At 60.7% G+C, this 25,937-nt stretch overlaps 2 protein-coding genes across 6 annotated transcripts in view, besides 5 other annotated features; one reads left to right on the top strand and one right to left on the bottom strand.

Annotated features, from left to right (window-relative positions):
* Nucleotides 1–5,072, bottom strand: part of CROCC2 (ciliary rootlet coiled-coil, rootletin family member 2) — an 86,976-nt gene extending 81,904 nt beyond the window's left edge. For both annotated transcript variants that reach the window (XM_024453115.2, NM_001351305.2), the window contains exon 1: nucleotides 4,817–5,072. In XM_024453115.2, coding sequence (XP_024308883.1) covers nucleotides 4,817–4,894 — 78 coding nt within the window. In that variant the 5' untranslated portion in view covers nucleotides 4,895–5,072. The remainder of the gene's footprint in view (nucleotides 1–4,816) is intronic.
* Nucleotides 5,919–6,419: an enhancer, noted in NCBI's record as "H3K4me1 hESC enhancer chr2:241844406-241844906 (GRCh37/hg19 assembly coordinates)". NCBI's record gives its function as "activates a minimal SCP1, AML or CMV promoter by ChIP-STARR-seq in naive H9 embryonic stem cells {active_cell/tissue: H9 hESC(naive)}" and the evidence as "EXISTENCE:reporter gene assay evidence [ECO:0000049][PMID:30033119]".
* Nucleotides 8,231–8,730: an enhancer, noted in NCBI's record as "H3K4me1 hESC enhancer chr2:241842095-241842594 (GRCh37/hg19 assembly coordinates)". NCBI's record gives its function as "activates a minimal SCP1, AML or CMV promoter by ChIP-STARR-seq in primed H9 embryonic stem cells {active_cell/tissue: H9 hESC(primed)}" and the evidence as "EXISTENCE:reporter gene assay evidence [ECO:0000049][PMID:30033119]".
* Nucleotides 8,731–9,232: an enhancer, noted in NCBI's record as "H3K4me1 hESC enhancer chr2:241841593-241842094 (GRCh37/hg19 assembly coordinates)". NCBI's record gives its function as "activates a minimal SCP1, AML or CMV promoter by ChIP-STARR-seq in primed H9 embryonic stem cells {active_cell/tissue: H9 hESC(primed)}" and the evidence as "EXISTENCE:reporter gene assay evidence [ECO:0000049][PMID:30033119]".
* Nucleotides 14,081–14,716: an enhancer, noted in NCBI's record as "H3K27ac-H3K4me1 hESC enhancer chr2:241836109-241836744 (GRCh37/hg19 assembly coordinates)". NCBI's record gives its function as "activates a minimal SCP1, AML or CMV promoter by ChIP-STARR-seq in naive H9 embryonic stem cells {active_cell/tissue: H9 hESC(naive)}" and the evidence as "EXISTENCE:reporter gene assay evidence [ECO:0000049][PMID:30033119]".
* Nucleotides 14,569–25,360, top strand: MAB21L4 (mab-21 like 4). 4 transcript variants are annotated; one of them, XM_011511877.2, is made up of 6 exons: nucleotides 14,569–14,599; nucleotides 15,341–15,924; nucleotides 19,645–19,870; nucleotides 21,250–21,403; nucleotides 22,760–23,116; nucleotides 24,246–25,360. In XM_011511877.2, exons 2-6 carry the CDS (start codon nucleotides 15,411–15,413, stop codon nucleotides 24,336–24,338), a joined length of 1,344 nt encoding a protein of 447 aa, XP_011510179.1. In that variant the 5' UTR covers nucleotides 14,569–14,599; nucleotides 15,341–15,410; the 3' UTR covers nucleotides 24,339–25,360. The 4 variants fall into 4 exon arrangements, with proteins under 4 accessions (XP_011510179.1, NP_001078906.3, NP_079137.4 ...); NM_001085437.3 differs by lacking the exon at nucleotides 14,569–14,599 and having other exon boundaries at nucleotides 15,252–15,924; NM_024861.4 differs by lacking the exons at nucleotides 14,569–14,599; nucleotides 15,341–15,924 and adding an exon at nucleotides 19,373–19,478.
* Nucleotides 15,989–16,624: an enhancer, noted in NCBI's record as "H3K4me1 hESC enhancer chr2:241834201-241834836 (GRCh37/hg19 assembly coordinates)". NCBI's record gives its function as "activates a minimal SCP1, AML or CMV promoter by ChIP-STARR-seq in primed H9 embryonic stem cells {active_cell/tissue: H9 hESC(primed)}" and the evidence as "EXISTENCE:reporter gene assay evidence [ECO:0000049][PMID:30033119]".
* Nucleotides 25,361–25,937: the final 577 nt, after the last annotated feature.

Raw genomic sequence — 25,937 nt, 5'->3', positions numbered from 1 at the left:
GAGAATTGCTTGAAGATGGGAGGGCGGAGGCTGCTGTGAGCCGAGATCGCACCACTGCACTCCAGCCTGGGCGACAGAGACCAACTCTGTCTAAAAAAAAAAAAAAAAAAAGTTGTGGACGTGGATGGTGGTGATGGTTGCTCAACGCTACGAATGTGCTTAGTGCCACAGAATTGTTCCTAAAAATGGTTAAAATGGTCAGTTTTATGTTATGTATATTTTCCCACAATTTAAAGAAAAATGAAAAATTTTTTTAAAAATTTATTTTATTTTTTTTGAGACAGGGTCTCGCTCTGTCTCCCAGGCTGGAGTACAGTGGTGCGATCTTGGCTCACTGTTACCTCCACCTCCTGGGTTCAAGCGATTCTCCTGCCTCAGCCTCCTGAGTAGCTGGGATTACAGGCGCCTGCCATCATGCCTGGCTAATTTTTGTATTTTCAGTAGAGACGGGGTTTCACCATGTTGGCCAGGCTGGTCTCAAACTCCTGACCTCAAGCGATCCGCCCGCCTTAGCCTCCCAAAGTGCTGGGATTACAGGTGTGAGTCACTGCACCCGGCCAGAAAAAAAGAAATTTTTAAAAAGGCTGAACAATCAATGAGTCAAGCACATATTTCCAGAAGTGAGATGAAGAACAAACCCAGAGAAACTGAAAGCGAAGGAAGAATGCATATGCAGGTTAAAGGAAGAATGCATATGTAGGTTAATGAAACACAAGATAAGAATACTATGAGCCGGTACGCGGCTAGTATCAGAAACGAGAAAGGGGATGCCACTTCGGGGCAACCACTTCCTCCCCACTGTGCCCAGGACTGGGGTTCCAGACCCAAGGCTGTCTGGAGTCCTGGGAAACCCCTGTCTCGAGCCCCTCAGCAAAGAGGGACAGCTGGTTACCCCACGGATCCTGCAGACATCCAAAAGACAGGAAGAAGATATTGTGAACAACTTTTGCCAATTTCAACAACTTGAAAATTTGGATGTAATGGACAATTTCCTAGAAAAATAGCACAAATCAAAATTCAAGCCAAGGAACGGGAGTCTGAGGAGCCCCCAGCTCTGAGGGGACTGGGCTTTCTGTGCTGGGTTCCTCGTCCGGGACTCTGCGCCATGCTTCTCCATCAGCTGCGGGTCTGGGTGCTGGAGATTCCGAGGAAGGGCACACCCCCACCCCTCAAGGCAGTCACAGATACCCCCCACTTCACGGGCAATTTCAGGGGGCTTTGCACTCCCCAAGTCCGACTTGCTCACCCCAGGGACAGAGGTTGAGAGTTTCCAAGCCTGCCCCTTTACATCCAATTCCAGCTCCAGGGTGGGGGCATTCTGGGGTGCTGTGCAGAGGTTGCTGGGGGGCTTCCAAAGGAGGGGAGAGCAGCTGTGGCCGGAGGAAGAGGGATGTCAGAGAGGCTTCTCCGGGCCTGGGAGCATGTTCGCCATCCGTCCAGAGCCACCACCCCTGGTCACAGGGGGCCTCCTGCATCCTCAAGCCACGGCCTTCCTCAGGCCCTATGGTCTCCCAGGCTATAGCTGGAGGGTGGAGTGTCCCTACGGTTCTGCTGCCCATCTGGACAGCTGATCTGGGCGTCTGGCACCCGCCTGCTCCCTGCTCACTCTGGGGTAATGGCATCAAGATCTCAATCACTACAGCAAAAATAACAGGTGTCAGCAGGGCGGGCAGAGCAGACTTCACTGGGGCCTGCGTAGCCTCCAGATGAGTTTCCTGGGGACAGTGGGAATTTGGGGGCAGACAAAGCTAAGCATCTCTCAGCCACATTTGCACAGTGCTCATGCCCCTGCCTGATGTCAGCATCGGCCTGGGATTCCCCCTCAGACCAGCCGCTAACCACAGCAGCTCCCTCCAACCCTTACGCCTCGGCTTTCCTGACATCCGAGGGGATGAGAATCCTCACAGGGCTGCAAGTGTCCTGCAAACGTAGTGTGCTGGCTCTCCAGCCTCCATTCACCAGCCCTGCTCTCAGAACTCATGGAGCCAACACCCAGGCAGAGCTGGCCGAGCTCCAGGTGGAGGAGGTAGAGGTCACCTGAGGTGGAGGAGGTAGAGCTCACCCCAGGTGGAGGAGGTAGAGCTCACCCCAGGTGGAGGAGGTAGAGGTCACCCGAGGTGGAGGAGGTAGAGCTCACCCGAGGTGGAGGAGGTAGAGCTCACGCCAGGTGGAGGAGGTAGAGCTCACCCCAGGTGGAGGAGGTAGAGCTCACCCCAGGTGGAGGAGGTAGAGGTCACCCGAGGTGGAGGAGGTAGAGCTCACCCCAGGTGGAGGAGGTAGAGCTCACGCCAGGTGGAGGAGGTAGAGCTCACCCCAGGTGGAGGAGGTAGAGGTCACCTGAGGTGGAGGAGGTAGAGCTCACCCCAGGTGGAGGAGGTAGAGCTCACCCCAGGTGGAGGAGGTAGAGGTCACCCGAGGTGGAGGAGGTAGAGGTCACCCCAGGTGGAGGAGGTAGAGCTCACCCCAGGTGGAGGAGGTAGAGCTCACCCCAGGTGGAGGAGGTAGAGGTCACCCGAGGTGGAGGAGGTAGAGCTCACCCCAGGTGGAGGAGGTAGAGCTCACGCCAGGTGGAGGAGGTAGAGCTCACCCCAGGTGGAGGAGGTAGAGGTCACCTGAGGTGGAGGAGGTAGAGCTCACCCCAGGTGGAGGAGGTAGAGCTCACCCCAGGTGGAGGAGGTAGAGGTCACCCGAGGTGGAGGAGGTAGAGGTCACCCCAGGTGGAGGAGGTAGAGCTCACCCCAGGTGGAGGAGGTAGAGCTCACCCCAGGTGGAGGAGGTAGAGGTCACCCGAGGTGGAGGAGGTAGAGCTCACCCCAGGTGGAGGAGGTAGAGCTCACGCCAGGTGGAGGAGGTAGAGCTCACCCCAGGTGGAGGAGGTAGAGGTCACCTGAGGTGGAGGAGGTAGAGCTCACCCCAGGTGGAGGAGGTAGAGCTCACCCCAGGTGGAGGAGGTAGAGGTCACCCGAGGTGGAGGAGGTAGAGGTCACCCGAGGTGGAGGAGGTAGAGCTCACCCCAGGTGGAGGAGGTAGAGCTCACCCCAGGTGGAGGAGGTAGAGCTCACCCCAGGTGGAGGAGGTAGAGCTCACCCCAGGTGGAGGAGGTAGAGGTCACCCGAGGTGGAGGAGGTAGAGCTCACCCCAGGTGGAGGAGGTAGAGGTCACCCGAGGTGGAGGAGGTAGAGGTCACCCCAGGTGGAGGAGGTAGAGCTCACCCCAGGTGGAGGAGGTAGAGCTCACCCCAGGTGGAGGAGGTAGAGGTCACCCGAGGTGGAGGAGGTAGAGCTCACCCCAGGTGGAGGAGGTAGAGCTCACGCCAGGTGGAGGAGGTAGAGCTCACCCCAGGTGGAGGAGGTAGAGGTCACCTGAGGTGGAGGAGGTAGAGCTCACCCCAGGTGGAGGAGGTAGAGCTCACCCCAGGTGGAGGAGGTAGAGGTCACCCGAGGTGGAGGAGGTAGAGGTCACCCGAGGTGGAGGAGGTAGAGCTCACCCCAGGTGGAGGAGGTAGAGCTCACCCCAGGTGGAGGAGGTAGAGCTCACCCCAGGTGGAGGAGGTAGAGCTCACCCCAGGTGGAGGAGGTAGAGGTCACCCGAGGTGGAGGAGGTAGAGCTCACCCCAGGTGGAGGAGGTAGAGCTCACGCCAGGTGGAGGAGGTAGAGGTCACCCGAGGTGGAGGAGGTAGAGCTCACCCCAGGTGGAGGAGGTAGAGCTCACCCCACGGCACCTCTTTGTCTTGTTGCATCGCCTGATTCAAATATCCTGCCCTTAGTCCTCATGCAGCCCTGTGTGTGAGCAAACCCTGCATCTACCCTGTCACTCGGTCACCTGCACCAGCTGTGGCCATTTCTCTTTTCAGGTGATCTGTATTGTTTGGATAGGGCCATGTCAGCCTGCCGTGGCATAGTTTTGAGATGCTAAGAGCTGGGTTAACAAGCAACCATGAGTAAGCCAGTTCGTCAGGGGTTCCCTGGGGTCCCGAGGGGTCCGTTGGAGGTGGGGCCGCCTGGCTGTGGTGGTCAGCAGCAGGTGACGGCAGTGCAGGGAGGAGGGATATCCGAGGTGGGACCGCAGGCTGGGTCCTAGGTGGGCTCTGGGAAGTAGGGAGGCAAGGGGAGAGGGACACGGGACAATTCCCAGCCACTGTTGTCACACACCAGGTGCTACGAAGACAGAACCAGAACATCTGGAAGCCACAGAATAGACACTAGGGCTGAGCCACAGCCTCCCACAAATGTGCAGCGATGGAAACACTGTCCCCCGAGAGGCCCTGCTGGCCCCACACTTGGCCATGGGAGGGCAGTGAACGAGGTCCCAGAATGTCAGCACCAAGGGCTGCCTGCCCATCCCCACCCCAGTGCGCAGCCTGCAAACCCGTGGCTGCCAGGGACGCCAGTCACCTGAACGTCCACAGCCAGCAGCGGCCCCGGGCTCTCTCTCCACCCTGCAAACCTGTGGCTGCCAGGGACGCCGGCCACCTGAGCATCCACAGCCAGCAGCGGCCCCGGGCTCTCTCTCCACCCCGCAAACCTGTGGCTGCAAGGGACACCGGCCACCTGAATGTCTATAGCCAGCAGCGGCCCTGGGCCCTCTCTCCCCAGGCTCTCTCTCCTGGCTGAAGGCTGCCTGTGTGTGCATGCAGGCGCGCCTGCTTGCATCCGTGACTGGCTGCACGCTCAAGGCAAACACGTGAGCAAGTGGAAAGTGCCCCGGGAGCCAGGAAGGTGCCTCCTGGCCATCCCCTCTCTTTGCCGCGTCCCTTCCAAAGTGTCCTGGCAACCTGCTCTCAGGAGGGTGCAGGGAAGTGACCACCCCACTGACCTGGATCACGGTGTCCAGCCCCAGTAGGGGCTGTTGGGAGGCGTCCCCATTGCCAGGCTCACTGGAGGCAGAGCTCATTGCAGCCCAGAGCGCAGGACCCCAGAGAAGTCTGGGCTTTGCTACCTGGCAGTTCTCCTCCAACTGGCCAGGGTCTTCCTTGGTCCACGGGCCCCACACCTGTGTGGCACCTGGCTCTGCAGTCTTGTGTCCCGAGCCTGGGCACCCAGTTGCTCTTGCCCTGTGGGTAAGACAGTATGGCCAGCTGAGCCCGTAGGCATTGCTGTGGCAACCGGGACGCTGAGAGCTGGGTTTCCCTGGAAACAGGAGTGCAGGACCCTGTTGCTGTGGGGACAAAGGAACGCTGTTGGCTGGAAGCAGTTTTGCCTGGAGACCTGGAGACGCCCTGGGTAAAACTGTCTACCTGAGCAACGGCACCTGGGAGGGGCTGGCCTTTCCCCCAGACACCCCCTCCCGCATTCGCTCCAGGGGGAGCCGTGTGCTTGCTGGACACACGGTGGGCAGAGGCAGCATGCAGAGCACTGGTCTTCCTTCATCTGGACTCATAAACTATGACTTTTGAAAAACATTTGTCAAAGAACGTAGTGGTCGTCGCAGGTGGTGGACTGAGACCTGGAGAGGGACGCTGCCTGCCTGAGGGGCAAAGGAATCTTGTCTTCCTGGCCTTGCACCTGTGAGTCCTTCTGGAGTCTGACTCCCGCTAGAGCCCTTCAGAGTCACCTGCCCATGGGTCCACCCTTGCCCTGGGAACCTGCACTGTTTCCCACCCTGTGGAATCGGAAAGGACCACCAGCCACCCTGTCCGAAGGGGAGAAGTCCCTGGTCAGCATGCGTGGTGGAGGGTCTGCAGAACTTGCCCACGGCTTCCCACCCCAGGGGCTGCCAGGGGCTGTCTGGATGCCAGGGCAGGGCAGCTTCCCATAGGTGGGGCAATGGGAGGGAAGCAGGGCCATGCCTGCCACCCCCAGGCCGGCTGTCCCTACAGACGCAGAGCTCTGTGGCTCGGAGTCTGGGCCTCCTGGGGCCTCAGATGAAGTCAGGTGCCTGGCAGGCAGCCATGCCAGCGTTTCCGCCCCATTCCACTCCCTCTGGGGCTCCTCATTCTGAGCTGGGACCTCCTTGAGCTGATGCTGGCAGGAGTCCCTCTGGGGAAGGGACAGCCGCAGAGGTGGGCCCTGCAGCAGGAGTGGCTGCCCTCCCATGAAAGGCTGCCCTGTTCAGGGGCCTCTGGGGATGGGTACATCTCCGAGTCTCTCAGAGACCCAGGTTCTTGGAGCCAGCCCAGGAGACCGGGAGGCAGCCTGCCCAGCAAGGCCACAGGGGCCCGGGCAGTGGAGGTGGATGCCAACTTGGGGGACCAGCATGTTTGTCCCTGGGGCTGCCGAGAGAGGGGCTGAGGGCCCAGGCCACCTCCTCAGAGGCGAAATTCAAGAAGCAGAGGCACCTGTACTCAAAAGGAGCCCTCCCAGAGAAACACCTGTGCTCTGTTCACCCCCACTCCTGAGGACAACCTCCAGGGTGGCCCTGCAGGGACAGGCCAGGCTCTCTGGCCAGACATGGCCCCATGGGCATCCGGGCTGGGCTTCACTGGACAGTCCCTGGGGTGCCAGGGGCCTGGTCAGTCCTTCCGAACCTCGTGCTTCTGGCCCAAGCATGACCTCTGGCTTCAGGTCCAGACTGAGGACACCCACTCCATGGGCTAGGCCCCTCCCTGAGCAGCCTCCAGATCCCCCAGGGACCCAAGACTGCCGGTCGCCCACCCTCAGAGTCCTGGGAGGCCCTGTGGCCATGGAGAGTCCTGCCCTCCATGCCTCAGCCTGAGTGGGGAGGGGCAGCGTTTCCTGCTGGGGCTCCGCTGAACTCCCCTGAGGTGGGTCAGGGCTTAGAGGGTGTGGCCCTGGCCTCTGGTGAGAGTTCCTGCTGGGGGCAGGGCGGGTGGAGTGAGGAAGGGGCATCCGTGTGGACCTGTGAACGGTGGGGAGTGGCTGGGAGGCTAGTGTGATCTCCCATGCGGGCCTCTTGGATAGGTGGAGATAAGACCTCATATGCCAGAAGCAAGTCCTGTGTCAGTCCTGACACAGATGCCCATGTTCAGGGGCGGCCCGGTGGCCTGAGTCGGGGTGTTGGAGAGACACCCTGACCTGAAGCCGTACATCCAGGCCAAAGGTGACGTGCACTGGGCCCAGCCAGGTGGAGACACCCCCTGTGGCCTCTGCAGGTGACGGCTCTCAGGAGGGCTGGTGGGCAGGGGCTCCCATCTGTGTTTAATTTTATTTTTATTTATTTATTTATTTTTGAGATGGAGTCTCGCTCTGTCTCCCAGACTGGAGTGCAGTGGCCCTATTTTGGCTCCCTGCAACCTCCCCCCACCAGGTTCAAGTGATTCTCCTGCTTCAGCCTCCAGAGTGGCTGGGATTAGAGGCACTCGCCACCATGCCCAGCTTATTTTTGTATTTTTAGTAGAGATGGGGTTTCACCATGTTGACCAGGCTGCTCTTGAACTCCTGACCTCAAGCAATCCTCCCGCCTTGGCCTCCCAAAGTGCTGGATTACAGGCGTGAGCCACTGCGCCCGGCCTGTCTGAGTTTTAGAAAGTTCCTTCTGGCTGTGGAGTTGCCCTGGACGAGACCAAACGTGAGGATGGGATTTTGTCGGTCCAGGTGGGCATCGCCTGGAGCCTCTGTGCCATCTGGGGTGGGCGTGGCCGCCTGCAGTTCAGCCTCCCCCGCCTGCGGCAGCTCCAAGTCCATGATTTTCCCAGATGTCCTCCCGTGCCCCTTTTCCTCAGTCACTGCAGGGTTTGCCCACGGAGGAGGGATTTCCTGGGAGAGTCCTGGTGAACCATGAAGGTTGGTCCCTCCTCTTGGTGGGGCCCTGACCCAAGGCAGGCCCTCCTTGCCGCCCACCTCCTCTTAGCCTTGGGGTCCTGGCTGCTCCACCGGACGCATCCTCGTTTCTTTTCCACTTCTCCCCCTTTGCTGCTTCTCCCCCTTAACCCTGCCCCCCTGTGTCTGTACAGGAAAGCCCACGCCTGCCGGCGGTGGCCCGGAGTCCCCCCAGGATGCCTTTCCAGGGCGCGAGGGCTGGCCCAGCCCCGTGCATGCCCCCCAAGGCCTCACTGCGGGGTGTCCATTATGGGGCTCCCAGACCAGGGCCATGGCTAGACTAGAAGAACCCACAGGGTAGGCCTTGGCCGGAGCCTGGCTGGGCCCCCCGGGGAACGCCCTGGGACAGTGGAGGATGGGATAGAGGGTCCTCCCTGAGTGCAGGCGTTCTGTGGGGTGGGCTCTCGGGAGGGCGGGGCTCGGGGGGCCCTGCCCAGTCCTGACCCACAGCCTGATGGGGGTTGAGCTCTTGTTCTCTGGACCTCACGCCTCCCTCCCTGGGACTGGGGAAAGTACTCGGCACCCATGGCCATTCTAGATGCGGTCCTCCTTGTCCTGCCCCACCTGCCTGGCTTTGGAGGCTGAGGAAGAACCCTCCTGGGCTCAGAGGAACACCTGTCTGTAGATACGCCATCACCGGTTTTGTCATTGTTCCCTTGAAACAGGAAACCTTGCTTATCCTTATCAAGGATAACGTTGTATCTCCTTATCAAGGAGATAAGGAGTTACAGCCTTATCTCCTTGGGGACAGTCCCTAATCCTGGCTGTGCTGGGCCCACATGGGGACACAGGAACCGATGATGAGCAGGCACAGACACTCTGGCCGCCAGGCACCCACACAGCCGGCCATGGGTGTCTTTTCCTGTCTAGCACCAGCAGGGGATGTGCCTCGGACAGAACCCAAAGAGGCTGTGACCCAGGTCAGCCCCGGGGAGCTATGGAGCCACTCCTCTTGAGCAGTCACTGGCTGTCCTCTCAGACAGTCTACTCTGCCAGGTGTGGACTTGGCTCTGAGGAGGAGACGCTGGCCCTGGGGGGTGCAGAGTCACTGAATGAGCTGAGACAGTGATGGAAGGCAGGAAAGATCCCAGTGTGATTACGGCAGGACGGGCAGCCCTGGAGGCTGTGAGGCTGGGACAGAGGGCGCCACATTCTGTCCACTGCCTACCCTCTCTGCAGAGCTGCCCTGCACATGAACTTTCTTCAGAGGGCATGGAAGTGCCACCCCATTCTGCACACAGCAGCCGAGTGGCACCGTCCCACCCCCATCTGTCGGGCGTGGACAGGAGGCCAGCTGAGGGCAGGGGTGGTGGCTGGTGAGGCAAGTGGTCTGATGCGGGAGAACAATGCATTTGGTGTGATTTTCAAGGTCTTTTCCACTCTCCTGAGAGGAGAGGCCAGCTGGATACATGTGCTGGGTTTTAGGGGGCATCCAGATGGTTGTGGGCGCAGGCAGGTCCTGAGAGGTTCTGTGGGGTGGGAGAGAAGACCTCGCTCTTCACCCACCCTGTGTTTATCCACGTGAGGGGTTGCCGGTGGATGCTGCCGTGGCAGGCCCTGGGGGACCTGGGTCCTGGGAGAGGCTGCAGGGCTGCCTGGGGACCCTGCTCTCTGGTGCTTTCTGTCAGCGTGGCAGAGGCTGAATACCACAGCACAGTGAAGAAAGGTGCCTGGGGAGGGACCTCCTGCCTGGGGACCAGAGGAGGCTTGGGGCTACTGGCCTGCCCAGGGATCCAAAGGTAAGAGCCCAAGCCATACAGAGCTTAGAAGAAAATGTAGGCAAAAGCTTCATGACACAGGATTTGGCAGTGATTTCTTGGATATGACATCAAATGCACAGACAATGAAAGAAAAAAATAGATAAATTGAACTGCATCAGAATTGAAAACTTGTGCATCAAAGGATGCTATGAAGAAAGTGAAAACCCACAGAATGGGAGAAAATATTTACCAATTTTATATCTGATAGGGGATTAGTATTGAGAATTTATAAAGAATTCTGGCCAAGCGTGGTGGCTCACACCTGTAATCCCAGCATGTTGGGAGGCCAAGGCAGGTAGGTCACCTGAGGTCAGGAGTTCGAGACCAGCCTGGCCAAACCCCGTCTCTACTAAAAAAATACAAAAAAATTAGCTGGACCTGGTGGCGTGCGCCTGTCATCCCAGCTACGCAGGAGGCTGAGGCATGAGAATTGCTTGAACCTGGGAGGCAGAGGTTACAGTGAGCCGAGATGGCGCCACTGCACTCCAGCCTGAGTGAGAGGGAGACTCTGTCTAAAAAAAAAAAAAAAAAAAAAAAAAAAGAATTCCTACAACCCAACAACAAGAAAACAAACAACACAATTAAAAATGAGCGAAAGACCTGAACAGACGTTTCTCCAAAGAAGATACACACATGGCCAACAGGCATGTGAAAGACACTCAGAGTCGCCTCATCCGAGAAATGCAAATCAAAAACCACAGCACGTCAGCACTTCACAACCCCTGGGATGGCTCTTACCCAGAACGCAGAGGATGAGTGCTGGGGAGGACGTGGAGAAGCCAGGGCTCTCGTGCACTGCAGTGGCGATGGTGTGACAAATCCTCAGAAAATTAAACAGAGTTCCCATATGATCCAGGAACCCACTTCTGGGCATATACCCCAAGGAACTGAAAGCAGAGACTCAAAGAGATATTCATACCCCTGTGTTTATAGCAGCATTTGCACTGCAGCCGATGGTGGAAGGAGCCCAGGTGTCTGTTCACAGATGATGTGGTCCGTCCCCACCGTGGAACATTACTCCGCCTTTAAAAGGAAGGAAATTCTCACACATGCCACAATCTGGAAGAACCCTGAGGATATAACGCCAGGTGAAATAAGCGCGTGCTAAGGCCGACGCTTACCTGAGGTCCCAGGAGCGCTCCAAGCCCTAGAAACGGAAGGTAGTATGGTGAGAGCCAGGGGCTGGGGGAGGGGCAGGAGTCAGTGTGGAGCAGGCACAGAGTCTCAGCCTGGAAGATGAGACGAGCTCTGGAGACTGACGGTGACAATGGCCGCGCCGCAACACGAATGTTCTTCATGGCGCTGAGCCACACACTTAAAGGTGGTCAAGATGGTAAAAGTCATGTTTATTTACCAAAATGTAAAAAACTAAAACGCCAACCACCAAGCAAAACAAAACCCACTGTGGCCAGCACCTGGGGAGACCTAGAGGGTTCCCCCACCCAGCTGCACGTTCCAGGGGAGCTGCAGCCTGTGGTCTGGCCCTGAGCTGGCGACTGGAGCCCCGGACAGACGGAGCTGGTGTCCCCGTGTGCCCAGGTGAGCGGTCTCCATGCCACCACTGAGAGAACACCCCCTTCCCCTCTCTCACACCGCCCTCCACCCACCCCTGTGCCGTCGAGCTTCCTTCTCCCCGGGACACCTGCCCAACCCCTGTCCTGGGCTGAGCCTGCCTCAGAAAAATGAGTCTGCTCCAATGTCTGCTCCCCACTGGATTTTCCAGGTGAGGGATCAGCCCGCCCTCAGCCCCATGCGGCTCAGCTCCTCAGGGTGGTCCAAAGTAGCCCCCAGCCCACGACCCCACCCACCCCGCCACACACCTGACTGTTCCCCAGCCATCTCCGTCCACCTGGGGCGTAACTGCCCATCACCTCCTTCCTCCCCCAGCCCCTGCTTCTTTGCTTTGCTCCTCCCAGCGGGGGTTCACCCCTACCGCTCAGTGCTGCTCCGAGGGGGGCTGCCAGGCTTAGCAGTGGAAATACAGGGATCCCTGTTCTATTCCAACTCCAGATCAACAACAATAAATGTTTGTGTGCCATGCAAATTAGATTTGAACTTCAGATTAATCCTAACAGCTGGGCGTCCTGCATTTTATTCGCCACCCTGATGCAGAGTTAGGCCATGAAGGGGAGGCCGCAGGGGCCGGGCATGTGCTCTGGGCGTCAGGACGCGGGTTTGTCCCTCGTGGTGAGCATTGCAGCTTTATCCTGAAGTCCAGACTGCTCATGTCAGCACGGAAGCTGCTTCCCCGCAGAGGCATCTGCGTAAAGGGCGTCTGGGCGCTGGGCGGCTGGATTCTGTCTGAGAGTCTGTCTCCTGTGGACTCCTCACTGTCCGTTGAGGACCTGGAGCCCAGGCGGGGCAGCGACTTGCTCAGGCCACACCATGGTGCCAAGCTCGTCTGCTCAAGTCTGACTTTTCTGCATCCGCACCTAAGCCTGAGCAGGCCTGGCAGGTACTCTGGGCACCTTGGCTGAATCGGACCACAGTGTCCTGGAGAGAAGGGCCCGATGCAGAAGAAGGGTCTCCTTCCCGGAGTACTGCAGGCATTGGTGGCTGGTGTAGACCTCGGCTGGAGACTCCTGTCTTGGTTGCTTTTGCATGCCTGAGGCTGCACAGAGCTGTGCCCACTGTTCCCAAACAGGTGGCTGGGCTAGGGGAGGGGCAGCAAGCACAGGGTCCCTGCAGGCAGCGCCCTGGCAGGGCTCCTGGCACGCGGTGGTATGGGGGCTGCTGACCGTAGCTGGCTGAGGAACAGCCACCTCCTAGTCCCCAGAACCTGTGAACAGGACCTTATAAAGCACAGGAGAGAGTGTGGCCTTACACGGTAACAGACTGAACCGTGGGTGAATTGAGATCTTACGTGGTAACAGACTGAACTGTGGGAGGCCTATGGGATGAGATCATCTGGGACGGCCTGGTGGCCCTAAATGGTCTCCCCAGTGTCCTTGTAAGAGAAGCAGAAAGAGATAGCACAGCTGCCCACAGGAGAGGGCCACGTGAGGACGGAGATGGAGAGACGTGGCCAAGGAACGCGGCTGCACTGGAGCTGGGAGAGGTGGGAGCTGCGCTTCCCTGGAGCCTCCGGAGGGAGCCCAGCCACACAACACCATGCTCTTGGACGTCTGCCTCCAGAGCTGTGAGAATTCACTTCTGTCATTTTACCTCCGCCGTGGTCTGTCGCACCCCTGGAAACATGCCCCTGCTGTGGGCTGCAGCTGCGTGGAGCCCCCACGGCTCAGGGTGTGCCCCTGTTGCTTCCCTAGGTTCAGCCCTGGGACTCTGTTCAGGCCGGAATGTCTGCTTCCCACCCCGCCTTTCCCAGCACATCCGGGACTTCCTGAAATACAGGATCCGTGCTCTGGCCCTGAGCTCTACTGAGAGACTGAATCAACACCCATCTGAGCATTTGCGGTTGCCACAGGTGCCAAGGAACCCCTTCTTGAGTTGCCAAGGCCCCAGGACACGTCTGGTTTCTCTGACCCTCCCCACCCTCACCACGCTACCCTCCTGGGGTCAGAGTTGGAGTCCTGGGTGCACTGTGGCTAGTGGCTGCCTGAAGGCCTCTGGAGCACTTGGCCCCTTTGTGGTCAAAGCTGCCCAGCCGTCCAGGGCGGGTGCCCGCATCCCCTCCGTCAGCAGCGGCTCTCCTCTCTCTCCCACAGGTCCAGCTTCCCGGGGACCTTTGCTTGTCCACAGTTCCCTGGTGTACTCCACATGCTCCTGTGTGCCTGGCATCGTGCCTGGCTCTAGGGTACACTGAGGAGTGTGACACCGTTCCAGCCATAGGGAGCTCACCATGTCATTCACCACCTGCCAGAAGGGCCAAGGGGCAAGGATGGGGCCTGGCCCATCAGAGGCTCTGACCTCAGCTGGGGCACAGGTGGAGAGAGTGGGGTCCCTTGGGGCAACCAGCTGGATTCAGCTCAGGAACTGGTGGGAGCCAGGAGGCCAGAGCCAGCGAAGGACAGGACAGGGTGTCAGCCAGGTGGAATCCCCTGCTGAAGAGAGGAAAGGGGGGACATGGTCTTGTGCTCTTGGTGTTGACAGCAGTGGAGAGGGGGCTTTAGGGGCAAAGGAGGATGCAAAGCCTGGGGGCCGCTCCCGAGGGAGAAGGGCCCTGCTCTGTGGCCACTGGAGGGAGCAGCTTGGGGGCTGAGAAGCCGAGCCCCTCCCATGGCTCAGAGCCCCTGGGCACTTTGGGTAGATTGGGGTGTGGTTGGGGGTCTCCTGGGCGAATTCAGAACACCGGGAGGTTCCTGGGAAGGAGGAGCTGGGACACTGAAGGTGTCATCAAATCACAGATGTTGAAGCCAAGGCCCAGAACAGGCAGATGAGCTCCCTGGGCCACTGCGGCCGAGGGTGAGGGGTAGGACCCCAGCTGCCCTGCAGCAGCGTCCACCTCCCCCAGGCCAGAGTCCTGTGGAGATGGAGGAGTGTGGCACACGGCTGTGTGTGGGGACCTAGGCAGGCCGTGGGTGAGGGCCCAGGACAAATGGGGCCTTGAACCTGAATGGCTGCCCTCGGGGAGGGGGACACGTGCTCTAAGCAACTCCAGGGAACAGGAGTGGGCCAGCTTGGAGGAGGGATATCTGTCTCTCGCTTGACCGTGGGCTACCCTGTGAGGTGGTGAGCTCCCTGTCCTGGGAGGCATGGAAGCAGAGACCCGCTCACTGGGCTGCAGCCCCTCATAGGGGCTTCCAAGCACCAGGAAGTGAGTGGCTGTTGCCCCCTGCCCCACCCCTCCTGGGATCCTGGTTCTGCCCACAGCTCTGACTCAGATGCAGCTCCCCGGGGGGTGAGAGGCCCACGTGCGGTGGCTACAGGGGCAGCATCTCCACGACGCCCCTGTGGGGCCATCTCCATGTTCACTGTTTGCAGACACCCCTGTGGCTGAGCACCCGATGCACTCGGCCAGCTGGCAGGGCCAAGGGTCGATGGGGCGGCTCCCTGCTGGTTGGGACTTGCACGGCCCTGAGCAGGGGAGGGGGGCGGGGCTGGCAGGGTACCTGGTGCAGGTGCTGGAGGGGGATGGTGGGGCGAGTTTCTCCACCTGGGTGAGGTGGAGCCACGGAGACTGCTTTTCTCCAGAACCAGACGAGCTCCAGCTCCCAGGCTAGGTGGGTGCCAGCTCCTCTCAGGTTGGAGGCTGGGCAGGGTGGGGTGGGGTGGGGTGGGGACTGGTAGCCCAGGGGTCCAGGGCCCAGATGGCTGGATGCACAGCTGGGGCAGAGGCAGGAGCCATGCCAGGACTGCAGCCTGTAAGCCGGGCACAGGTGTCTGAGGGGAACATTGCAGAGACGCAGCCTCCAGGTTCCCAGCCTTCCAGGCAGCCTTAGAGAGTCGGGGGCTCCCCCACAGCGGGGTCTGGGCAGCCACCGCCCTGCCTCCCCTTCCTCACTGAGCCACGGGGTGCCTTGTGTTCCCTCCAACCTGGCAGGGAGGCTGGGGCAGGGGGGCCTGATCCAGATACCCGGCCCCTGGGCTGTGGGGAGGAGGGTGGAAGGAGGCCCATCAGCAACACACAGAGGCTCCCATCCCAGGGACGGCACAGTCCAGCGGCAATATTTCTCCAGGGACCCCAAGCCTGGCTGGGACAGGGGCCGTGCCTTGGGCCTAAGATGAGAGAGCTCTTCTGAAGGGAGGGAGGAGGGTGGTAACCAAACCCAGCCCCCGCCTGCCCTGCATGGCCCCTGTGACATTCCCAATTGCTGGGGACTGACTCACCCCCACTTCAAAGGCCTTAAATAGTTCAGCTATTTCACCTGCCACACTGTGCTGTCACTCTGGAATTCTGCTGTGTGGGAGCTGAGGCCCCACCTGCAGACCTGCTGCTCACCTGGGCAGGTGCCTCCTCACAGCCCATCTGCACAGCTGGCCTGCGGAGTCCTCCTCAGGGGCCACTGGCCCTCACCTGCCACTGTTGAAGGGATGCCTGCCCCTGCTCTCCCCACCTCAGCCATGGCCGTGCAGGTGCCCCTGTGGCACCACTACCTGCAGGCCATCCGGTCCCGGGAGGCGCCGCGTGCCCAGGACTTCCAGCGCGCAGAGAACGTGCTGCTCACGGTGCTGGAGCGCGTGCATGCCCTGGACCCCCGCTTCATCGTGGACTACTCCCGTGGCCTGGAGGCCTTCCAGTTCGCCCTGCGCTCCTCTGAGGACCCAATGGACATGGAGGTGCCCCTGTGGGTGGATGCCGAGGCTCTACTGATTGAGGAACCAGAGGCCACCCAGCCGGAGGATGGCCTTGAATTATGCCACCTGGGTGTGCCCAGGGAAGGGGCTGGCCTGGAGCGGTGGACCACCGAGGATACCTTCACTGCCTCCTCGGAGGGTGACGCCAAGTGCCGTGGACACATTGTGCCCAGCAAGGTCCTGTGTGTCCTCAAGGACCTGCTGGTAGCAGCCATCGTACACTGCAAGCACCACAGTCTCATCGCACCAGGTACAGGCACAGCCCACTCTGCACGCGTATCTGCGTGTACCGAGGGGCTGCTGTGTGGGTGTCTGTGTGCAAGTGTGTGAGTGCACATGTGTGTGATTGCCATGTACGTGCACACAGGGTGGCGACTGTCTTCTGTGTGTGACTGCACGCACAGGCATGTGTGCACGTGTGTGACACTGTGCAAGTGTGAACAGTGTGTTGGGGCACAGAAGTCGGGAGACCTCACTTAGGTCTTCCAGCTCCAAATGCCTGTAACAAGACAGATGACGTGTTCCGTGTCGTGTGTGTTTGCACGGGGGTTCCACGGCTGCCAGTCGTCCAGTGGCTGGAGTCTGGGGCAGCTGCTTCACTGGTGGCCTTGCAGGAGGGTCCCTCACACGGCTCTGGGCAGGCGGCTCTCTTGCCAGTCACAGCCTGTGACCTCGAGGCTCCCCGAGGCCATCCCGTGCCCACTTCCAGTGTCTGATGATGTTGCACCAGGTGGGAGGGGTGTGTGTGTGCCTGCCTGCGTGCGCGTGAGTGCAGGGGTGTGAATGCGTGTGCAGGTGTGTGCCCGTGTCTTATCAGCTTATGGCTGAGTTGTCTATTGGTGTCTTGAGCCCCAAGTGGGCTCTGAGGCTGGGCTTCTGCGTGGACCAGGGGCTGGCCTCAGTCTCTCCTCTGGGGCCTTTTGTTTGTTTGTTTGTGAGACTGAGTCTCACTCTGTCACCCAGGCTGGAGTGCAATGGCACGATCTTGGCTCACTCCGCCTCCTGGGTTCAAGCGATTCTCCTGCCTCAGAATCCTGAGTAGCTGGGATTACAGGCATGGGCTACCACGCCTAGCTAATTTTTGTATTTTTAGTAGAGACAGGGTTTCACCATGTTGGCCAGGCTGGTCTCGAACTTCTGACTTCAGATGATCCGCCCACCTGGGCCTCTCAAAGTGCTGGGATTACAGGTGTGAGCCACAGCACCAGGCCCACCTTTGGGGCCTTGTTGATATGGTCCAGGGTGAGTCTGAGCCCAGGGCTCCTTCAGCAGGGGCTGCCTGGACGGCGACGGTCGCTGGGAGGACAGGGCTCAGCCTGTGCAGGGGCCAGGATGATGGGGACCCTGAGTGGTACAGCCATCCTCCAGGGGGTCAGGTTGTCCTGGAAGGGAACTGGGGACTGGAACAGAATTTGTCACATGTGAGTCACCACAGTCCTCACAGGGCTTTGTTGCCTCGAGTCACCTCCCTAGTATTCATCTGACCCTCATGTCCTCCGTGAGGTCAGCGGGTGGGGTCAGCTCACCTTCGCGAGAGGCCATGATCTGCTTGGGGATGCCCGGCGCTGGGGCCTGCCTGGAGGCAGGGGCACCTCCTGTGGGTTCTGGGGAAGGGTGTGCTGCCACCGCCGCACATAGCCAGGCCTCCAGTCTGCATGCTGGGAGGCCAGGAGGGTGGATTCTAACAGAAGCCCTCCCCAGACCTGTCTAGTGCCCTGGGGTAAGTGACTGACCTGACCTCTGGGGTGTCAGCTTCTGGTGCTCCCAGCCAGCCCTCACCCTGCCCCCAGCCCCTCGGGCTTCCTGCTCCAGCATCTTCTGAACCTCTAATCATGCAGGCCATGGGGTGGGTATTTCTATCTTCTTCCCGACCTCACTTGGCCCTGTCCCCACCTGTGAGACAGGCCCACCCATTGGGGTGAGCAGGAGGCCGTGCCAGGCCCTGAGTCATTCGGATTTGCTCTAAGCCGCCAGGCTCCTCACGCCCCCAGAGTGCCTCCTGAGAAAGCAGACTCGATACTGCAGGCCGCGCCCACAGCCCCTGAAGCTGCGCTGGGCTGGGCATGCAGGGAGATTCCAGGCATCGTTTCCTGACACTCACCTTAAAGGGGAAGTGGCAGCCTAGGTGACAGGGGTCAGGCTGCCCCCACCCTGGGAACCGGTGAGACCAGCCCGGGGCTGTGGCCTGTGGCCGGGCTGGTGCAGTTGCAGCTGCCTTCCAAGCTGCCAGGTCACGGGCAGTGAGCGTGCGTGGCCCACGGCAGATGAGGTGTGTGGCCACTAGAGGCGGCTCTGAATGGCAGGCACCTCAAGTGCTGCATGGGGGGGCCCTCCTTCTCTTTCATTGATGGGAACTGAGGCCCCTGTGGGATGGGCCGCCCAGGCAGCAGGGCCAGGGTTGCCCTGAGGTGGGCCCCAGAGGCGTCCCCAGAACTGCCCCACGGGAGATTGTGGGGGCTGAGGGGTCCACACAGCCAGGACCAGGCTCCCTCCGGAAGGACCCTGGGGCGGTGGGATGGTGGGAAGGCAGGCCCCATGCTCGCTCATGATGGGGACCTTTCCCAAGGCACATGCCAGGATTCCCTCGGGGAAACGCCAGCATGCTGCCTGGGCCCAGCTCCCTGTGACCTGGGCACCCTGGCTGGACAGTACTGGGGAGGGGAGGGGCGGCCTCTCCTCCGGTCCCTGGGCCAGTGTCAGGCGGGGGCCGTGTGGGTGTCTGCAGTCACCCTGAGTGACACCTCACCTCTTCATTCTCGGATATTAATTTGTTTTTGGGGGGGTAGGGCAACTGAGGCAGAGGCCAGAGGGCCCCTGGACTCACCAGAATGCCCCCAGCCCCAGCTCCAGCCCCATTACACCCTGGAACAGGCCCTCCAGGGACTCTGGGCTCTGTGTTAGTGAAGTGGGCACTGGGCTGGGTCCCGGGTGGGGTCCGAGGAGGGGAGGGAGTGGGAAACCTCTTGGTCAGAATGTGCCTCCTGTGGGGGACAGGGGCCATGGGGCTCTCGGGCAAGGGCTCTCTGGGAAGTGTAGGATCCAGACCTGGTCAGGAATAGTGGCTGAGCTCCGTCACTGTGAGCCTGCTGGCCTGGGCAGCCCAGAAACGGGGGTGGCTGAGCTCCGTCACTGTGAGCCTGCTGGCCTGGGCAGCCCAGAAACGGCGGTGGCCGAGCTGGCTCTCCACTACTGGCAGCTGCCGCCGCCTCTTCTCTCCATGGGAACTGAGCCTCAGCCTGGGCCTGTCCCTCTCTCCCCAGCTGCCCCCATCATGTAGACTGGTCCCCTAGCTGGATCCAACATGGGCTTCCCATGCATGCAGTTGATTTGAGTGGCAGGGGGCTCTCAGGGAAGCTTCCAGGGGCAGGGGCAGGGGGCAGGGGGCAGGGGGGAGGAGGAGGTGAGTTCTGGGGAGGAAAGGCCTAGCTTCGCTCCACCCTCTCCAGCTCTGGAGTGGGAGCCCTGTGGCCCCAGCCTGGACTGCTGCTGCCTCCTCCCCTGCAGAGAAGGCAGCAGAGATGCCAGGGCCATCGTCAGGAGGTAGGGGGCTAGCTGAGGGCTGGGACTTTGGCCCCAGGGCTGGGGCAGAGTGAGCAGGCTCAGGAAGGCCTGGGAAGGCACAGCAGGCGTGGTCCTGGGGTGTGGGGTGAGGGTGGTGCCTGGCAAAGGAAAACCTCATGTAGGACGCTGCTGTCATCACTGGTGCTGCAAGTCGCTGAGCTGACAGTTGTGCCGAGGACTGTCACCATTGGGCAGGCATGGTGGCCAGCTCCTCACTTGGCTGAGGTCCAGGGATGGACACAGGTGTCTGGGGTTGGGGAGCTGCAGCCTGCAGGTGGGGGCCAGCAGAGAGGGCTGCAGGTGAGAGGTGATGAGGGGCAGGGGCCAAGTTGGCAGCAGGAGGAGGGCTGTGGAGTGTCCTGGGCAGGTGAGGCAAGTCGAGGGGCCGGCGTGACTTGGGTCTTTGCAGGTTCGCTGAACGCGGCCAGCCTGAGGGAGGAGCAGCTCCACCTGTCCTTGCTGGTGTCCAGCGGCTGGAGAACAATCAGCTTCCACGTGGTGCCCGTGGTGAGAAGGAAGCTTGGGGCGCCTGCCCTGGAGGGGGTGCAGCAGATGCCCGGATTCCCTGAGGGCAGCTTGAGAAGGATCCTCAGCCAAGGGGTGGACCTGGTGCCGGCCAGCGCCCAGCTCTGGAGGTAGGCGCACCCTCCTGGTCACAAGGTTCTTGGGGAGGGGGCAGGAAGGGGCCACTGCCCCCATGCTCCCCTGGCCCCAGCCAGGAGGATCTGCAGGGTCCTCCGTCTGCCTCTGCCCCCATGGGCATGTGTGTTCCACTGAGATTACTGGGGTCTCTGGCTGTAGGGAGGGTGGAAATGTGTCCTCTCCCTAGTGGAAAGGGGCCTGGTGGCATCTGACACTGGGTGATGAGAGACCTGGAATTGTGGATGGCTGCCCTAGACCAGACCTTTCACTACCCAGCTTTTGCTTGGGGCAGGAAAATAGCTGAGAGGTCAGGCAACCTGTCCAGGCAGGTGGGTTCCCAGAGAAGCTGAGAGGGTTCCCACACAGTGGGGGTGCGTCCACATTGATGTCTGTGAGAGGAAGGAGAGGGGCACTGGGCACAGGCTGAGCTCCCCTGGAGACCCCTAGCCAATGGCCAGGGACCGCACCCCATCCAGATCTGACACCACTGCAACAGCCCCTCAGGGTGGCTCACCCCGCCTCACTTGCTGGAAGGATGGTTGAATCCACGCTCGTCAGTGGAGGGCTTTGCAAAGCTGGTTATGTCCCTCCTGTGGTTTTCCCCTGCAAGGAAAGGCTCAGCGGAGCGCCAGTCACCTGCCCTGCATTGCCTCTGACCCCTTCACGCGAGGCAGGGGCGGCGTCCAAGCTTGTGGAATAAACTACCTGCCCGCCTGCCAAGGAAGGGGAAGGGCTGGGCTGGGCAGAATCATTTTTGCAAGTAAATGGGAAAATGACATTTTTGGTGCCCCACATCCTGTAGGCTTGCGGGGGACACTGGGCGCGTTACTGGCCCCTGTTGTGGCTCCTTGAAGGGTGGGCCCATGAGGGTGCATTGCCAAGGCTCCACCACCTCAGCCCATCCAGCATGCACGCAGCAAGTCATCTGGTGTGAGCTGCTCTGAGCTGTGGGCATAGGCGGGGCTGGGGTGTGGAGCAGAGATTCTGAGCCCATCATGCGGCCACCCCTGGAGGCTGCCGCCCTGGGCTTCCTGAAGGGGCCATGAGTGGAGCTGTCACACCCCCGGGCTGAGTGGTTCCAACCTGGGCAGGTCTGAGAGGCACCTTCCTGTCTACACAAAGGGCCGGACTGGCCTGGAGGCTCCTACATCCCTCCGTATTCAGGGCCAGGGAGTCTCCACGAAAAGCAGGCGTGCACACTGCACAGCCGATGACAGCAGCTCCCGAGAAGCCTGGGTTCCGGCTGGGTCCCACCAGCAGACGCAGCACAGCACGACCCTGGCCAGGGCCCGAACCTCCGGGGCTCAGAAGCTCCCCATGCTGGGGGCCAACAGCGGCGGGGGCTGACCCAGTGCGTCTGTCTGGGCCCCAGGACCTCCACTGACTACCTGCTCACGAGGCTGCTGGGGGAGCTGGGCTCCCTGCAGGGTCATCGCCTGGACAGCCTCTCCATCCTCGACCGGGTCAACCACGAGAGCTGGCGTGACAGTGGCCAGACTGACGGCCTGACCTTTGGCCACCTGAAGGTACCCAGGGCGGGACTCGGCGGGTTGTCTGTCACCAGGGCCCAGGGGTAGGTGCACCCAGGCGTGTCCCTCCTGCCAGCCCTGACTGGCAGGCAGCTGCTATGAGTCCCAAGTCGGAGTTGGGGGGATTCTGAGGGCCTGCCCAGGTTCTGAGGAGGTGAGGCCGTGGCTCCTGAGGGTCAAGGGAATGTGGCCGCGGGTGCCGTGGTGCCGCAGGCTGGCCTTCGCCATCCCTAGGCCGTGACCTCGGAGGCCCTCCTGGCCCTGGGACACTGTTGGGTAGAATCTCAGGGTGGGGCCTCACAGAGCCCAGTGTTCCCGCCCAGCCAGCCTCCTCCCAGTGTCTGGGAATGTCACCTGGCTGGGACACCTCCCTCTGGGGGTTCCCAGGAGAGTCCAGGCACACCCTTCTCTCTGCTTCCTGGGCCACAGTGACATTCTGCAGAACCCTGTCCTTCTGGGGCTTTGTAACATCAGATGCTGAGAAGAACAAGGAACAGGCAGGGGCCAGGGATTCCAACCCACCCCAACCCCGAGGAAGCAGGTGGGGGCTGTGCTGTCTTGGGGTCTGCTCGGCTGGCCCCTTCCTGGAGTGTGTGGCCAGCCGGGCGCTGCTCCACAGATGGGGCTGGCCCCTCCACCTGGCTCAGTGTTGAGGGAGAGGTGCCCCTCCTGGTGTCCGGAGTCCCTAGGTGACCTCTGGCCATGCCCTCTCAGGCCCCCACCTGACCTGGAGCTTCCAGCCCCCCTTGAGGTTGGATGCATGGTGGTTCCCAAGCCCCAAACTCAACTGCAGGGTGAGAGGCCATGGGAGAAGAGGGTTTGAAAAGCCGCTGTGAGACAGGGCCTGTGAGACAGGGCCTGGGGCAGGATGGAGGGTAAGGGTGTCTGGAACGGCCGCAGGCAGCTCAGGTCTTGTGGTTCAGGCCAGGGGTCATGAGCACACAGGCTAGGACTGTGACAATGCCATGGGCCCGTTGGGTTGGGCTGCAGGGGGTGAGTAGGAGCTCAAAGGGGCGGAGGGAAGGAGAGAAAGGCCCAGAGGATGCTGGGAGCTGCAGAGGCCCCCAAGGGAGGTCCTGGGGGGTGAAAGGAGGAGCTGGGGTGGGGTGCGAGGGCCAGAGCCAGGCAGGGGAGGAGAGAGAGGGGTTCATGCCTTCGGGAGCCAGCAGGCTGGGGGCAGCGGGTGGGAGGGGCCTGGGACTCCGACTGGGACGTGGAGGGGAGGGCACAGGGTAGGAAGAGGTGTGGGTAGGAGCAGGGAGGGGCAGCCAGGGTGAGGGTGGGAGCGCAGGGTGGGAGCACAGGGTGGGCCGGGTGGGCCAGGAGGCCAGGGCTGACCCTGCTGTCCTGCAGATGGTGCTGCTGTGGGCCTCTGTGCTCTTCCTGGCGCCCGAGGACTGGGCAGAACTGCAGGGCGCCGTGTACCGCCTGCTGGTGGTGCTGCTCTGTTGCCTGGCCACGCGGAAGCTGCCCCACTTCCTCCACCCGCAGCGCAACCTGCTGCAGGGCAGCGGCCTGGACCTTGGTGCCATCTACCAGCGCGTGGAGGGCTTCGCCAGCCAGCCCGAGGCGGCCCTGCGCATCCACGCCACCCACCTGGGCCGCAGCCCCCCGCCGCGCATCGGCTCCGGGCTCAAGGCGCTCCTGCAGCTGCCAGCCAGTGACCCCACTTACTGGGCCACTGCCTACTTCGACGTCCTGCTGGACAAGGTGGGTGCTGGCTGCGGGGGCCTTGGGCAGGCCCGGGGGCATGGGAGGGTGGAATGGAGCCCTGGCCTGGCTCCCTGCCCATTCTCTCCCAGGTCAGCAGCCCCAGGAATGCTGAGGCCAGGTCAGGGCTCGGATGGAGAGCGTCTGCGGGGACATGTGATGTCTGGGGGTCACACGGGCCGTGGGGGTCCCCTCACTGGTGGCCTCACAGGGCCTGGGGCTTCTCCCTGGAACCAGGGCAGTGGGTCTGACCCTGCTTCTGTTTCCCACCAGAATTGCCCCCCAGCTCACACTTGGTAAATGCTCAGAGCCCCAGCTGCCCACCCTGGAGTTCCATTCCTCATGAAGGGATATGGCCTTACCTGGGCCCCAGAGGGACCATTTTTTTCTCCCTGGACTCAAGAATCCACAGCCGTGCTCCTTGGGACCCTGTGTCCCCTGGGCCACTTCTCGTGGGTGCCTGGAGGCTCCACCAACTGCCCCTCCCTGTGGCCCAGGCTCTGCCACCTCTGCTGAGCCTGCCTGGAGTCCACCCTGCTCCTCGCCCAGGGCCCGGCCCTCACCCTCATCCCAGGAGCAAACACAATCTCCTTCCAGGGCACAAACAGGGGTTTCTCAGCCACCCTCTCCTGTGTCCTAGTGGCAGTGAGGCCCCAGGGTAGCCACCCTCTGCTGGGCATCTCCTATCCTAATTTAGCAAACTTCCGCCTGTTGAGATGCTGATGGCCTCCTGGGGCCTCCCCTCATGCCCAACACTTAAGAATTTTTACCCCAGAGCCTGCAGATTAGGGGGCAAAGGCCATGCTCTGTGCTCTCAGCAGACCTGTGTGGGCAGGGTGCGGTGAGGGTGGGGTGGTCACCGGAGGCAGCCTTCAAGCAGCACCGTGTGGGGCCTCCTCCTCAGTGTAGGCCCATGCCAGGGACGCCGTGTGTGAGGAGGGGCTCAGGGAGCAGCAGAGGCTGGGGCCGCTCCGCCTCTAGGATGCCTGTCCAGGCAGATACCCGGGGCAGGAAGGCCCGGCATGGCCCAGGGAGGGCCAGTTGTTCCACGCTGTGCTCTCGGCCCTGAGAGCTTATCATGGGCTCCAGGGGTCCCTGTAACCCTTCTCCCCTGCAACCCTGCCTGTAGTTCCAGGTCTTCAACATCCAGGATAAGGACCGGATCTCTGCCATGCAGAGCATCTTCCAGAAGACCAGGACTCTGGGAGGCGAGGAGAGCTGAGCTGGGCCACCTGGTCTCAGCCACCTGTTCTTGGCTCCCCAACAGACTCTGCACTGCACCATGGGAGGCTCCTGGGATGTTTGGAAGAAGAAACGGGCTTCTCCTTGAGGGGGTAGTGGAGGGATTTTGTCCCCAGCAGTGGCCTCTGAGAGTCTTTCAGTGCCTGGTGGGGCAGGGCAGGCCTCTTGGAGCACCTCCTCCCTGGGTCAGGGCCTGGATGCAGGTGCCAAGCTCTCCATGTGGTGCATGTTGACCCAGCCACGTGGTGTTGTCAAGCAAACAGCATCGGCAGGAGACCTGGAGCTGAGGACTTGGCCCTGCCTGCACTGTATGCCATTCCTTGGTGACGAAATGCTGTATATTTGGTTTTGAAAAAATGAATGTGCTGGGTATACACAGCAGAAAGGGTACTGTCCACTTTTTGTATATCAGTGTGGAAAATATTTCCCCTAGAAGTAGAAAAGGCTCATGTGCTGATGGATAATTTTGAGTCTTCTCCATTCTCTGTGAATGACCCCCTTCCCCAGGCATCCCCACCTCCTACCTCGTTCTTAGAGCAAACTAAAGCCAACTGAGGGTGCACACACAGCCATGAGCCCACCTGCCCAGGACTACTCCCATCTGCTTCTTCCCGTCCCCGTGGAAGTGGCCCCTGATATGGATTGTATCTGTATCCCCACCCAAATCTCAGGTAGAATTGGATCTGTGTCCCCACCCAAGTCTCAGGTAGACTTGTAATCCCCAGTGTTGGAGGAGGGGCCCAGTGGGAGGTGATTGGATCATGGGGGTGGATTTCTCCCTTACTGTTCTCATGATAGTGAGTGAGTTCTCATGAGATCTGGTTTTTTGAGTGTGTGGCCCCTCCCCCTCTCCTTTTGCTCTCTTCCTCTTTCTCCGGCCATGTAAGATATGCCTCCTTCTCCTTCACCTTCCACCATGATTGTCAGTTTCCTGAGGCCTCCCAGCCATGCTTCCTGTATAGCCTGCGGGACTGTGAGTCAATTAAACCTCTTTATTCATTACCCAGTCTCAGGTAGTTGTCTACAGCAGTACAAGAACCTACTAAACATCCCCCCTCTCTGATGTAAGGTGTCCTCTCCTGGCATCTGATGCCACCCCCACTCTGTCCTTACCATTCTTTGTGCCCACAACTCACATTCTCTCATCAGCCCAGCACTGCCTGCCTGCAGCCCATGACCTGCATGGGTCCTGCCCATTGGACATTTCCTATTCTCCATCTTTGGCCTCTCAGGGGCATTGACCCCTCAGTGCCTGAGCCACAGCTCACACCTTTGGCTCTTGGAGGGGACCTGCAATTCATGCAGCAGCAGCTCCCTGGAGCCTCCTTGAAAGGGACCTCTGGCCATCTGCCAGAGGAAGCACAGACTCACGACAGGAGATGCCCAGGCCCCTTGAAGGCTGCAAGATCCAGGGCCTGAGCTGACACACACAAAAGGGGACACAAAATGCCATCACTCCTCCCCCATTAGAATGGGGGCTGGTAGAAGCAGAATCTTGGTTCACATCTGATTCATAATGGAACCGAAGGGCCAGGCCCACCCTGTGGCCATCCCCTTGGCATTTGATTGTGAAGCAGGG

Source organism: Homo sapiens, chromosome 2, assembly GCF_000001405.40.
Source record: "Homo sapiens chromosome 2, GRCh38.p14 Primary Assembly".
NCBI classification, from domain to species: Eukaryota; Metazoa; Chordata; class Mammalia; order Primates; family Hominidae; genus Homo; species Homo sapiens.
This window is presented reverse-complemented; position numbering and strand designations above follow the sequence as displayed.